At 44.0% G+C, this 15,333-nt stretch overlaps 1 long non-coding RNA gene across 1 annotated transcript, besides 1 other annotated feature; it reads right to left on the reverse strand.

Moving 5' to 3' along the window:
* Positions 1-1,960: 1,960 nt before the first annotated feature.
* On the reverse strand, positions 1,961-15,254 carry LOC107984372 (uncharacterized). The gene is made up of 4 exons (XR_001748078.1): positions 14,272-15,254; positions 11,170-11,320; positions 9,662-9,906; positions 1,961-2,076 (listed from the first exon to the last, which is right to left on the reverse strand). It is a non-coding gene; the product is annotated as an uncharacterized LOC107984372 (long non-coding RNA).
* Positions 12,257-12,757: an enhancer, noted in NCBI's record as "H3K4me1 hESC enhancer chr11:116507034-116507534 (GRCh37/hg19 assembly coordinates)". NCBI's record gives its function as "activates a minimal SCP1, AML or CMV promoter by ChIP-STARR-seq in primed H9 embryonic stem cells {active_cell/tissue: H9 hESC(primed)}" and the evidence as "EXISTENCE:reporter gene assay evidence [ECO:0000049][PMID:30033119]".
* Positions 15,255-15,333: the final 79 nt, after the last annotated feature.

Genomic DNA, 15,333 nt, shown 5'->3' on the forward strand with positions numbered 1-15,333 from the left:
CATACACCTGTAGTCCCAGCTACTCAGGAGGCTGAGGCAGGAGAATCTCTTGAACTCGGTAGGTGGAGGTTGCAGTGAGTCGAGATTGCGCCATTGCACTCCAGCCTGGCGACAGAGCAAGACTCTGTCTCAAAAAAAAAAAAAAGAAAGAAAAGGAAAAAGAAAGTGAGGAGTGTGGCCACAGGAGTGGAACAGGATCCTTGTGGTAATGGAAATATTCAAAGTCTTGACTGTTGTGGGATACACAAACTTATACATGTGACAAAATCATAAAGAACTAAATGTGTTGGGAGGCCAAGGTGGGCAGATCACTTGAGGTCAGGAGTTTGAGACCAACATGGTGAAACCCGTCTCTACTAAAAATACGAAAATGGTGGTGAGCGCTTGTAATCTCAGCTACTTGGGAGGCTGAGGCATGAGAATCCCTTGAACCCAGGAGGCAGAGCTTGCAGTGATCCGAAATTGCAACACTGCACTCCAGCCTGGGCAAAAGAGCGAGACTCTGTCTTAAAAAAAAAAAAAAAAAAACCTAAATGCGCACACATAGAGATTACTATGAGGAAATCTGGGTAAGGAATAAGATTGATGTGTTCTCTCAATGTCAATATTTTGATTTTGACATTATATTAGAGTTTTGTAAAAATGTTGCTACTGGGGAAACTGGTTCAAGTGTACATGGGATCTCCCCATATTATTTCTTACAATGTATGTGAATCTACAGTTACATTAATAAAAATTTCAATAAAAAAACAAATCTACAGGAAAGTTGAAAAATAAAGGGATGATATGGCAGAGATGGATAATTGTCAATTATTAACATACTCATTCTTCCCTTCTCCCATAGAACATAATTTTTAGCTGGGCACATGGCTTCCTGGATTAAACATTACATTTCCCATCCTTCTTTGCAGCTAGGAGTGGCCTATGACTAAGTTCTAAGCAATGGAAGTGATAATTACTCTACTTTTTATTTTTATTTTTTTTTAGATGAAGTCTCGCTCTTGTCCCCCAGGCTGGAGTGCAATGGCGCGATCTCGGCTCACTGCAACCTCCACCTCCCAGGTTCAAGCAATTCTCCTGCCTCAGCCTCCCAAGTAGCTGGGATTACAGGCACCTGCCACCACGCCTGGCTAATTTTTGTATTTTTAGTAGAGATGGGGTTTCACCATGTTGGCCAGGCTGGTCTCGAACTCCTGACCTCAGGTGTTCCACTTGCCTCGGCCTACCAAAGTGCTGGGATTACAGGCGTGAGCCACCGTGCCCAGCCAGTAATGACTTTATTAAACTTCCAGATACTGTTCTTAAAGGGGGCATGCTCTTCTACATCCCCTTCTTCCCTCCTTCTCCCTAAATCATGAGGACAAGAGACATAACCTTGAGACTGTGGAAGGATAAGGTGGAAGGACCCCGGATCCCTAAGGACTTTATGGGGCCACCATAACAGCTCTTGCCTGCCTGTATTTCATTAAGAAATAAACTTTTATCAGTCATGTTAAAGCTGCATGAATGCTAGGTTTCTTCTGGACTTCTACGAAATAATTTCCACCATATTTGGGAAATTGGTATTTGGGTTTTCTTTGACTGAAATTGAATCCAAACTTTACTAGTACAAAAAGAAAAAGATATTCCTTGCAAAAATCAAACTACAATTTTGTTATCAGGCCAAGTAGAATTCCAGGCCAAGAAGAAAACTACAAGGGACAAAGAAGGATGTCATAAACTGTAAAAGAACTATAGATCAGGCAGATATAAGGATCATGAATATTTACGTGTTTAATAATATGGCCTCAAAGACTATAAAGCAACCACTGACAGTATTATGGGGGGAAAGAGATACATAAAAAACCATAGTTATGGAATTTAGCATACCCCTCTCAGAGACTAATAGATCAAGGAGACAAAAATGAGCTAAAATAGAAGATTTAAGCAATACTACTAATAACCTTAAACTGAAATATAATAAAGGACTAGACTTAAGACATGAGGAGTATGTTATTTTTTAACTCACCTGAAACATTCAAAAAAATCCTCCATGAACTAGGTTACAAAGGATGATTATTCAACCATTTCTGAACGCTGTAATAAAAATGGGAATCAATAACAAAAAGACAGGTTTTTATTAATACCAGAGGTAGAAAAACTGAAAAACCAAGCTACTTAATAACACTTGCGTTAAAGAGGAATTAATAGGGAAAATTACAAAATACTTAGTACTGAATGACAGTAAAAACACCACGTCAAAATACGTGGGATACAGCTAAAGCAAGACTTAAGGAAAATTAATGGCTTTAACTATAGTTATATATATATATATATATATATATATATATATATATATATATATATATATATACACATATACATACATATAAAAGGCAACAAAGATGGGGGAAGGGAGCTAAGTATTTGACTTAGGAATTTGGAAAAAAGATCACAGAAAAGAAGAAGGGGTAGAAATCAATAAAATCAATAATCAAAGCACATTAAATTAAAATCACCTTTTGCAACTCCTAATAATTAATTAATCTAGACATTGATCATCAATGGCTACTAAAATCATTAAAGGAGAGCCAATCAGACATTGTCATTATACTCCTCTTGAAGGATAAACATAACCCACTTATGAGATAGAAATATAGATATACAATTTTGACAAGACTATCAATCTAGACAGACAGGTAGGTATAGATTTAGATACTAAATTTGGTCAAGCCAATTGTAAATTTGCACATAATTCAACGAAATTTTACTTATCTCTAAGTTCAGTGAAAGTTCATCAAAATTCTAGCAGACATTTTTTAGAAAGTTGATAAATTGATTCTAAAATTAATATATGGAAAAATGAAGTTTCAAAGTTCACAAATAGCTAAAGCAATTTTTTAAAAAGAACAAACTATGATGATTTGCTATATCAGATATTAAAACATACTGCAGAACTATATGATTTTATAAAGTTTGGTATTAACTCAAGAACAGACATATAAATCCAATGGAACAGAACTTAAAATATATAAACAGACCTGTGTATATGTAGGAATTTGACATATGATTAAGATGTCACAAATTAGTGGAGGAAGGATAATTTATTTTGTTGAGAGTTCACCAAAAAAAGTATTAAATCTCCACCTCATACCATATACAAAAGTGAATTCCAGATAGATTAAAGACCTAAAACTGAAAGGTAAAATGTTAGACCTAATTGAATGAAAATGAATAAAGCTCTCCTCATGCTCTTGGGCAGGGACAGACTTCACAAACAAAACAAAAATAGCCAAAACCACAGACAAAAATTGACTAATTTGACTATATCAAAACTAAAGATTCCTATTAATTGAAAGGATGCTGTATTCGTTTTCTAGGGCTTTTGTAACAAAGTACCACAAACTGGTGGCTTAAAAGAGCAGAAACTTATGGTCTCACAGTTCCGGAGGCTAGAAGTCTGAAATCCAGGTGCCAGCAAGGCCACGTTGTCTCAGAAACCTGTAAGGAGGAACCCTTCCTCACCTCTTCTAGCCTCCGGTGTTTGTCGCCAACCACCAGGCTGTCTCAGAAACCTCTAAGGAGGAACCCTTCCTCACCTTCCTCACCTCTTCCAGCCTCTGGTGTTTGCCGCCGACCACCAGGCTGTCTCAGAAACCTCTAAGGAGGAACCCTTCCTCACCTCTTCCAGCCTCTGGTGTCTGCTCCTGACCCTTGGCTTTGCTTGGTTTCTAGGTTCATTGCTCCTGTCTCTGCCTCCATCACTGCATGGCTCTCTTCTCCCTGTGCCTCTGCCCTTCTTTAAGGACATCAGTCATATTGGATTAGGGCCCACCTTAAAGACAACATTTTAACTTGATTACATCTACAAAGACCATCTACATTCCCAAGTAAAGTCACATTCAAAGGTACCAGGGGTTAGGACTTCAAAATACCTATGGAGGGATATTCAACCCCTAACAGGCAGCATAACTTCAATTTCTGCCTTCATCTTTACACGGCCTTCTTTTCTTTGTGTTCTCTTTCTGTCCTCTTCTCTTCCTATAAGGATACCAGGATTTGATTTAGGGTCCACCTGATTTCATCTTGGGATCCATGTATATTATTCTGTTTTCGTGCTGCTGATAAAGATATGCCCGAGACTGGGTAATTTATAAAGAAAAAGAGGTTTAATGGACTCATTGTTCCACATGGTTGGGGAGGCCTCACAATCACGGCAGAAGCCAAAAGGCATGTCTTACATGGTGGCAGGCAAGAGAGAAATGAGAACCAAGTGAAAGGGGTTTCCCGTTATAAAACCATCAGATCTTGTAAAGACTTATTCACTGCCACAAGAACAGTATGGGGGAAACTGCCCCCATGATTCAATTATCTCCCACTGGGTCCCTCCCATAACATGTGGGAATTATGGGAGCTACAATTCAAGATGAGATTTGGGTGGGGACACAGCCAAACCATATCACCATGTTATGGATATGGTTTGATCTGTTTTGCATTGCTATTAAGCAATACCAAGAGTGGGTAATTTATAAGGAAAAGGGGTTTATCTGGCTCATCATTCTGCAGGCTGTATAAGCATGGCACCAGCATCTGCTCAGCTTCTAGTGAGGCCTCAGGGAGCTTACAGTCATGGCAGAAGGTGAAGGGGGAGCAGGTGTGCCACATGGCCAGAGCAGGAGCAAGAAGATGCCAGGCTCTTTTAAACAACCAGCTTTCACATGAACTAAGAGCAAGAACTCACTCATTACCTCAGGAAGGGCACTAAGCCATTTGCGAGGGATCTTCCCCCACGACCAAAACACCTCCCATCAGGCCCTACCTCCAAAATTAGGGATCAAATTTCGACATGAGACTTGGAGGGGACAAACATCCAAACTATATTAGGATCCTTTACTAATCACATCTGCAAACCATATTTCCAAATAAGGCCATATTCTGTGGTTCCAAGTGAACATAAGTTACTGGGAGACAGCACTCAACCCACTACAATCAGCCCTCTGGCCCCTCAAAGTTTACATCCTTTCCATGTGCAAAACACATTCACCTCATCCCAACATTCACAAAATTCTTAACCCAATCAAGCAACAATTCCAAGTCTAAAATGGCATTTAAATATTATCAACTGAATGAGTCTCAAATCTCATAAACCAAATTATCTAAATCAGGTATGGGTGAGACTCTGAATATGATCCATCCCGGGGGAAAAATTCCCTTCCATCTGTGGACCTGTGAAACTAGAAAATAAGTTATCTGCTTCCAAAATAAAATCCAGGCATGGCATGGATATTCCCATCCCAAAAGGGAGGAATTGAAAGAAATAAAGGGGTCACCATTCCCAGCCAAGTCCAAAACCCAGCAGCAAAAATGTCAATAGGTTCAAGGTCTGAGGATAATCCTCTATGTTGTTATCTGGGCCTGCAGTGACAGCTCCTGCCTCTGTGCCTGCCTCTCTGGCCTCTAACTCCACATCTGTGAGTCTGTCCTCAGTCATTCACCTTTTCCTTTAACAGCAGCATATGTTTACAGCTGAGCAGCTCTATCAACTAGTTTCCTGTCTATAGAATCCCAGAAGTCTGATAGCTTTTCTTCATTTCATAGTCTCTGTCAGTCCAGGCTGGCCATGTTCCTATTGGTATAATATTCTCAAAAATTTTGTGGGTCTCCTGTGTATGCCAAGGGGATACACGTCATTAGACCGAAGCATTCTCCATAGATACTTCCTGATTAACCCCACCTCTATTCCTGGCTTCTACTGTGATGGCTGATTGGAATCATGAGTCACACACCTAATCTCTTTGCAAAATGTTGTCCAGCCACAGCTTTGGAGCTCTCTCCACAGTGTGCTTTCTCAACAGAGAAACCAAGAACCTCCCAAATCATAAAGTACTGGTTCCTTTGTGCTTAACAATTCCTTCCTCAATTTATCTCTTTCCTCTTGCACTTCACTGTAAGCAATAAGGAGAAACTAGGCTGCACCCTCCATATTTTGCTTAGAAATCTCCTCAGCTAAACATCCAACTTGAATTCTGCTTTTTGCCCAACAGCAGCCAAGTTCTCTGACGCCTTATAAGAATCACCTTTGCTCAGTTTCCAGTAATATGTTCCTCATTTCTTTCTACGGTCTCACCAGAAGTACCTTTAATGTTCCTATTTCTAGCAACATTCTTTCTATATATATGATTATATATATTCTCTAAGATTATAGAAGCTTTCTCAACCATTCTCATCACTTCCATCTGAGCCCTCACTAGAATTGCTTTTAACATCCATATTTCTAGCAACAATCTCTTCTTCAATGCTACCAGGCTTTTTCTACCATGAAATTCAAAAGTATGTATTACAGCAGCACCCACTTCCCAGTAACAAAGCCTGTATTCATTTTCTAGGGCTGCCATATCAAAGTACCACAAACTGGGTGGCTTAGAACAACAGAAATGTATCCTCTCACAATTCTGGAGGCTAGAAGACTGAAATCGAAGTGTCAGCAGGTCCATGCTCCCCCTGAAGCATCCAAGAAGGAATCCTTCCTTGCCTCTTTCAGCTTCTGAGGGCCCAAGGCATTCCCTGGCTTATGGCATCATAACTTCAATCTCTGCCACCGTCTTCACATGTCCTTCTTGTTTGTCTCTCTGCGTTTTCTCCTCCTCTTATATGGACACCAGTCATGGGATTTAGGGTCCACCCTACATCTAGGAGGACATCATCTTGAGATCCTTAATTAGTTACATTTGCAAGGACCCTATTTACAAATTAGGTCACATTCTGAGGTTCCAGGTGGACATGAATTCTTGGGAGACACTATTTAACCTACTACAGATACTATGGACACAATTAACAAACAAGTGACAACTGATAGAAAATATTTCAAAGTCTAAAATCATTAAGGATTACAATATATAACATGCAAGAAACACAAATCAACAAGACGGGAAATCCTACAGAAAAGTAGGCAAAAGAGATGAATAGGCAATCCGTGGAAGCAGAAACCCAAATGAATAAAACTTTTATAAGGAGCTATTTGGCCTCACTTCATAAGAGAAATCCAAATTAAAACAAGGAAATCCTACTTTATGCCCATAACATTAGCATGAAAAATTAAGTCAGATAACACATGTGTTAGAACAATGTATAGAAATGGAAACCCTACATAAGCTACACTGACTTCTCCTCTTGCTCAGTGTAAATCCAATGTCTATACTCTAACCCACAAGAGTCTGCAATTCCTGGTCCCACTACAGCTCCAACCTCATCTCCAGCCACCCTCTGCTTCCCTCTCTCTGCTGCAGCCCACCAGCTTCTGCGCTGTTCCTCTAACAGGGCAAGCATACTTTGACCCCAGGGCTTCAGCACTTGCAGTTTCCTCTGCCTGGAATGCATACTCCATTCATCTGAATGGCTTGGTCTCTTATTTCATTGAGTTCTCTGCTCAGATGTCACCTTTTTAAGGAGTCTTCATTAATCACTCTAGTAACATAGGATAGAACCTTCCCTCTTTTCCTGGTTTTTCTCCGTCACAGTTATAATTCTCCGGAACATTTTAGATTTTGCTTGTCTGTTTATTGTCTATCTTCCTCTACTAGAATGTACACTCAGTTTTGCTCACTGCAGCATCCTCCAAGCCTAGAACTGTTCCTTATAAAAGTGACATTTGAGCAAAGAACTCAATGAAATAAGGTGCTCAATAAATGTGCTGAATGAATAATGAAGTCCTACTGTTTATTATTATACATTGAGTGCTTTAGTTGTACTATTTCATTTGATTCTTACAATCATATGAGGTAGTCATTATTAATTCCATTATACTGACTTGGAGACTGAGGCTCAGAAGAGTTAGGCAACCAGTGGAGATCACACAGCTAACAAATGATTGATCTGAGACTTGACCCCAGCCTGGTTGATTCAAAATCCCAGACCCTCACACTTCATTGTACTCTGTCAATCTCCCACAGAGTTCACAGTTCTCACATGGCAGTCATGCACGTGCACAGCTGAGATTTCCTGCTGCAGGGAGCGTGGTTATCATTCTTCTAGATCCACCACCACGTTAGTGCCAAGGCCACGCTTCCGTCAGGCTGCTCTCAGCCAAGGACTAAGCACGGCTGGTACTAGTTCAGGCCTCTTCTAGTGGCAACTTTGTCTTGACACTCCCCATCAGCCTGGCCAACACCTTCTGAGACCTGCACTGGGCCTGAGATTCTTCCTATCCCATTCTCCTTTCTTCCTTTGTCCTTTCTCAGGGTCAGACCAGTGTTGAGGTCTGAGGCTATCCCTGCTTTCTCCTGCCCCGTTCCCTTTGTCCTTTTTAGATATCCTTCCCTCAGTGAAGCTCTTGTGCCTCTAAGCCCAGCTTGGCCTCTCCTTCTTGGATGTCCGGCTCTAATATACCTCATGACACTCAGGAGTCAGCCAGCACAGCACATGCTAAAGCTGGGCACACACATTCCCAGGACCCAGCAATTCCATTCCTATATATATATTCAACAGAAATGCAGACATGTTGTTACAAAAGATAAGGACAGGACAGGTACGGTGGCTCACACCGGTAATCCCAGCATTTTGGGATGCCAAGGCTGGTGGATTGCTTGACCTAAGAGTTCAAGACTAGCCTGGGCAACATGAGGAAACCCCATCTCTACTAAAAACACAAAAATTATCCGGGCGTGGTGGGGAGTGCCTATGGTCACAGCTACTCAGGGGGCTGAGGTGGGAGGATTGCTTGAACCTGGGAGGTGGAGGTTGCAATGAGCCGAGATCACGCCACTGCACTCCAACTTGAGTGACAAAGCAAGACCCTGTCTCAAAAAAAAAAAAAAAAAAAAACCCAAAAGGACAATAACTTACAGAGCACCACTATTCATAATAGCCCCAAACTGGAAAATACTCAAAGGCCTATCAATGGTTGAATGAGTAGCTACATGGTAGTTTTTCACACAATAGAATGTTATACAGCAAAGACAATGAACAATCTACAATTACAAGAATATGAATGAATCTCTGAGTGAAATTTACCAGATGCAAAAGAATATATACTGTCAGATTCTTTCTTCTTCTTTTTTTTTTTTTTTTTGAGGCAGGGTCTCACTCTGTTACCCAGCTGGAATGCAGTGGCTCAATCTCGGCTCACTGCAGCCTCTACCTCCCCAGGCTCAAGCAATCCTCCCACCTCAGCCTCCCAAGTAGCTGGGACTACAGGGATGCCCCAACATGTCCAGCTATTTTTTTTATTATCATTATTTTGTAGAGACAAATTTCATCATGTTGCTCAGGTTGGTCTCAAACTCCTGGGTTTGAGCCATCCTCCTGCCTCAGCCTCCCAAAGTGCTGGGATTACAAGCATGAGCCATTGTGCCTGGCCTTATATACTATAAGATTCTATTTATACAAAGTGCAGAACTAATTTATGATGTTAAAAGGCAGGACAGCAGTTACCCTTGGGAGGTGGGGTAGTGACTAGAAGGGACATAATAGGAGATTCTAGTGATGTTCTGTTTTTGCATCTGGATAGAAGTTATGTGACTCAGTTTACCTTCTGGAAATCAGAAATGTGCAATTGTACAATCTGTACACTTTTCTATATATATGTTAGACTCCAATAAAAAATATTTAATGAAAAAGTAAGAATAGGCCAACATTGCACTCTCAACCAAAAGCCAAAATCATAACCCAAGTGATAAGCCCTAACCTTGTTCCTGTCAGGGTGTCACCATCCTCATGGTCACCTCATGGCTCAAAGCTGTCCCTTGCCCTTATCCTTGATGGCCAGTATGTCACCAAGTCCTGATGACTCTTCCTGCACAACCCGTCAGCGCTGACCAGTTTCCTGTGTTTCTGCTGTCACTGCTCCATTTGATGCCTGAATTCAGCAAAAGTTAGCGTCTAATTGGTCTTTCAGCCAGGGCCAGGACTAGGGTGAGGAAAGTACGGCACCTAGGGGGCAAAATGTAAGGAATCATCACCCTCAGGATCTTGTAAATTCAGGATCAGTCCCTGACAGTGATGCTTCTTTAAATTTTCCCTGCCTCAGCCTAGTCCCAGCCTGCCCTCAGCTTCCCACTTTTCCCTCCAGCACACGTGGCTCCATGTTGCCAAATTATTCTCCTTGCTTCTGTCATGGCCCTCCCCTGCCCAAGGATTTACTAGTGTCCCATCTGCCTATTAAATTAAGGATAGCCCTGGGGTGGACACACATCTCTCTTCACCTCAGTTTCTCTATAAGGATGGTGAGAAACCTGGACCCAGAGGTTTCCTTCAAGTGCCAACTCCAGGCAGTTATAACAGCTATCTCAAACCCTGGGTTGAAATAGGCCTCTGAGGACAAGTACAGATTCACTGTACAAAGGTATCGACCATGTACGGTGGCTCACACCTGTAATTCCAGCACTTTGGGAAGCTGAGGCAGGTGGATCACTTGAGGTCAGGAGTTCAAGACCAGCCTGGCCAACATGGTGAAACCCTGTCTCTACTAAAAATACAAAAGTTAGCCGGATGTGGTGGCACACACCTATACTCCCAGCTACTCAGGAAGTTGAGGCAGAAGAATTGCTTGAACCCAGGAGGTGGAGGGTGCAGTGAGCTGAGACTGCACCACTGCACTCCAGCCTGGGCAACAGAGACCCTGTCTCAAAACAAACCATGTAACTGCTATAACAAACTAACACAGACTACTAGATGACTTAAACAATGGTTATTTCCCACAGTTCCAGAGGCTGGGAAGTCCTAGATCATAGCACATGTAGATTTGGTGTCAGGTGAGGGCTCACTTCCCGGTTCACAGACAGTGCTTTCTTGCTGTGACTTCACATGGTGGAAGGGGCAAGGAAGTTCTCTAGGGCCTCTTTTCTAAGGGCACTAATCCCATTCATAAGGGCTCCACCCTCATGACCTAATTGCCTCCCCAAGTCCCCACCCTCTACTACCATCACCTTGAAGGTCTGGATTTCAACATAGGAAGAGTGAGGGGACATAAACATGCAGCCTATAGCAGCAAAGAGGACAATCGTGATACGCATGTCAGGTATTTGCCTTAAGTAAATCTAAACTGTGTACCCAGACCCTCCATAATCTAGTCTTATCCTACAATGGTCCTGTTTCCTAGGGAATCAATTCTAAAATGTTCAGCCTAGGTTCTAAATTAAGCTAAGCAGAGGCAGACTGAAACAAGCCGCACTGTGCTGGAGGCAGCATGGTCACCTGTGGTGGTCACGTCACTCTCAGGTCCACCAGGGCCAAGCCCCTATGAAGGTGGTCAGTCCTCAGGCTCCCCGGGGCTCATCTCCATTTTTGGAATCCAATTACAAAACATTGATCCGATCCCACTCCAGAGAACTGATTTATGCCCCGGCTGAGGGAAAAAGAACCAAAAATATTGTACCCATTTGTTCAAGCTGTGGTTGGTTAAACAGGGTCACCTCTCGCCTGCCAACTGGCCTGGTCCTCTCAGCTCCTCTGGCACCTGCTGGAGGCAGCTGGATTTGGCAGGTGGCCAGGCAGGTCAGCCCAGCCAAGAGGACAAAGCCCAGACTGTGAACCCATGGAAATGCCAACCCAATGCCCCTTGGAGGCCCCCAGGGCTTTCTGAGTCCAAGACACACACACACACACACACACACACACACACACACACACACACACGTACCTAACAGTTCATGAGTTACTGAATGGAAAAATCTTCCTAGTCCCTAGTTTTTCTTCTTTCTTTCCCAGCACCTTTTCACCCAAATGGTAATGTCTGGGCTTTGCCAGAACTGGCACAGGCAGGGATCTCTGGTCAGAGAGACTCCAGAAGAGATGTCCTTCCTCTCCATCTGGGTGAGCAGCAACACACAGCCACCCAAAAGGCAGGTGGAGAAGGCAGGTGTGCATGAAGGCAGGTGTGCACGAAGGCAGGTGTGCATGAATACAGGTGTGTATGAAGGCAGGTGTGTATGAATGTGGGTGTGTATGAATGCGGGTGTGCATGAAGGCAGGTGTGCATGAAGGTGGGTGTGTATGAAGGCAGGTGTATATGAAGGTGGGTGTGCATGAAGGCAGGTGTGCATGAAGGTGGGTGTGCATGAAAGCAGGTGTGTATGAAGGCAGGTGTGTATGAAGGCAACACAAGATTTGTGCTCTGCTAGGACAAAGTGCCAGAAAGACGCAGAAAAGGGATTGATTCTTTAGAGTGAAGTATGGAGGCTTCTTGGAGGAGGTGACTGATGTGGGCCTTAAGGGATAAATAACAGCCTAACCAAGCTGCAAAAAAATGGAAAAGCTTGTGCCAAAGGATAGAGGCAGGAATAAACTTGACAGATTATCAAGCATCTCCTGGAGCTCAAAACCCCAGGACCGGGCCTGTGTGTCCTCCAAACCATAACCTCATTTCCAAAACTTCGGGACAGGGGTGGCAATCTTTGCTCTGCCTTCCCCAACCGGGCAGCATTTCCAGTTGGCTCCAACAGCTCCCTATGGACCGCTGTCAAACCTTCCCAGGGACATTCCTAACATCTTTGTCCAGGTAGGACCCCTGTGGGGAAAATCATGGCAGGTGAAACAGTAGGAAGTGAGGTTTCTAGAGACTGGAGAAGCCAGAGAAATGAGCGGGGCAGCTGGGCTCCACTCCTCCCTCTGCGGAAATGCCCAGCAAGGGGTTGATCCTGCCTCCTTCCTGCGAGGCTCGCCATCCTTCACCCACTGCTGCCTGCTCCTGCTGAAGCCCGGGATGCATGCGTGATGGAGTAAACAGCAGGGCTGGCAGTGTGGGCATGAGACTGCGCACGCACCACGCTCACTGGTGCTGGGGCGCATCCTTCTCCCACGAGCCAAACTGAATAACCTGATTCTCAGGAAAGAGTGTCAGAGAAGCCACTCAGAAGGACTTGGATACTCTGTGGGGACAAAGTTTGAGCACAGACATTAAGAGGGACAGAGGGGGCTGCGTGAGGGAGGGGGATGAAAGAAACCCCCTTTCCTCTTTCCATCCACCACCCTCTACTCCTACCACATGCCTACAGGCACCCTTCAAAGCCCTCCTCCTCCACCCGCCCTCCCCACCTGCCCCAGGCAAAAAAGCCAGAGGTCTACCCAAGGGCGAGGACCACGCTCTCTAGTCCATTGTCTTAGGAAGCAAGGCTATGCAGGTGGAATTAACAAGGGGTGGGGAGGCTAAGTGAAGATTTTGTTTCCAGTTATGCCTCCTCTAAGTGGGTGGCCTGGGGCAAGGCCCTCATCTGTAACAAACATAGGTCTTTCATCTGCCAATTGAGACCTGATTATAGTACCTACCTCCCAATATGGAGGGGATTAAATGAGATATTTGTAAATTCCCAGAACACACTTCTCTAGTAATATGCTTCATTTTCAAGTGTACAGCTCACCTCCTCACCGACACTGCAAGCTCCAGAGGGGAAGTTTTGTGCCCCATCCCACCCCCATCACACAGCGCTGGGCATGGGGACAGCTCAATAAATGCCCTTTGGAAATCACAGCTTATCAAACAAGAGGGAGGAAAAGGAGGCAGAATCCTGGGAAGGGTGCTTTGACCCCCCAGGCTGGGCAGGAGGCTGAGTCCCATCTTTCTAATCTAGTTGTAAAGCGCCTGTGTTCATTATTTTAACAGTTATTCGTGATCAAACGATTTGGTGTTAATGTGGATCTAATGTATAAATCCATACGGGTCCCACAGTCATTTAGCATTAATTAAACAAGGCCATTTTAAGGCTGGGATTCCACTGGGTTTATTGTGCTTAGCAGTGAATGGCGGAAACCACTCAACCACTCTGCTTTCTCTCTGCTCCTGTGTTGTCCCATTTACCTCTGGAGAGCAGGGGAAGAGCAAGCTTGAAGCTACCCTGGACAGAGGGTGGGGCACAGGGAGGACCCTGGCTAGGGTGTGGAAAGCTGACTGACAGGTGAGGAGCTCCATAGAGGCCCTGCTTGCAAAGAAGAAATAAGGGTTGCATTAGCATACCACGGGCCTGGATGCCCAGAGAACAGGATTTTAGTCCTGCTCTGCTGCTGATGACTAGCTGTGCAGCCTCGTGCAAGACACTTCCCTGCTCTGTCTTCATCGGTTAATTAAGAAGCCTGGACAAGCCAACCTCATTCCCTCTACCTGGAATGCATCTCCTTCCATTTCCCCATGGCTGCTCCTTTCCATCTTTCACATCTCAGCTCACGTCAGCTCCTCCAAGAAGAGATAACCACCCTCTGTTACCACCACTCCCCACCACCCAAGCACTCTGGAGCACATCGTCTCTCTTTTATTTTCTTTATGGGACTTACCACGGTCTTAATTATCTCTGCATTTGTACTCACTTGTTCCCTTGTGTGTTATCTCTGTCTCCTCCCCACTGTCATCTCCACAAGATCAAGAGCTTCATATGTCTTATTCATCTCTTTCACACCAATTCAGTACGTGGCACATGATGGGGGCTCAAAAAAAATAGTATGTCCACCAGCAGAATCATGAGGTGATCATTAAAACCCCTCCAGGATGGCACTCAATAGTCCTTGACATCTGCACCCAGAAAGTAAGGGCGGCATAGGGTGCGGGAAGAGCGGGGATCATCCAGGAGAACTTGTGGGAAAAGGACGATCAGAGCTGGATTCTGGGAGACAGAGGAACGCCAGCCTAGAGAAGGGGAAAACCTGTCTTGAGAAGGCAGGCAGGCAGGAGCCACAGCGGTGGAGAGCTTCAAGTCCCTGCAGCTGCTACACCTTCAGGCTCCCAGCCAAGACCATTTGGTGAACTATATTAATAATCACAATACAAGAATCCCTTGTGGACTGGAACAATTTCCCTTCCAAGGCAGTGACATGCCTATCACTTCACTTTATTCTTCTGCCATCCCCTTGATACAAAGGAGGAGAAAATATCTTCTGCTATGTATAAAATTAATAACAATTGTTCATTTGTATAGTACTTTCCCATTTCCCGAACACATTTTCTTATACAGGAATGATAGTATTTATTCCCATGTTGCAGATGAGGAGACTCAGAGAGGTGAAATGACTTGTCCGAGGTCAGTCATAGCGTATGTAGCCTGGAAAACTCAAGCCCCGAACTCCAAATTTTTCAACAACCTAGTGGTGTTTTTTCCAGATGAGGAAACTAACAGAGAGAGAGAGAGAGAGAGAGAGAAAGTGTATGGCTAGCTTATGAGAGCTCCCCACCCACACATCCAGGGGGTTAAATTATTTGTAGGGTCAGGATGAGGCATGCGGACAGTGGGAAGGGAACCATCTCCCTTCCCGACCTGAGCATGGAGATGGAGATCACCCTGAGTGAAAATGTTCATTTTTACAGTTCAGGGAGGGAGGGGCAGAGACTTCTTACATTACAGAACTCTAGAATTCTCAGCTGAAAATGATGTTGGA

This window comes from Homo sapiens, chromosome 11 (assembly GCF_000001405.40).
Source record: "Homo sapiens chromosome 11, GRCh38.p14 Primary Assembly".
NCBI lineage: Eukaryota > Metazoa > Chordata > Mammalia > Primates > Hominidae > Homo > Homo sapiens.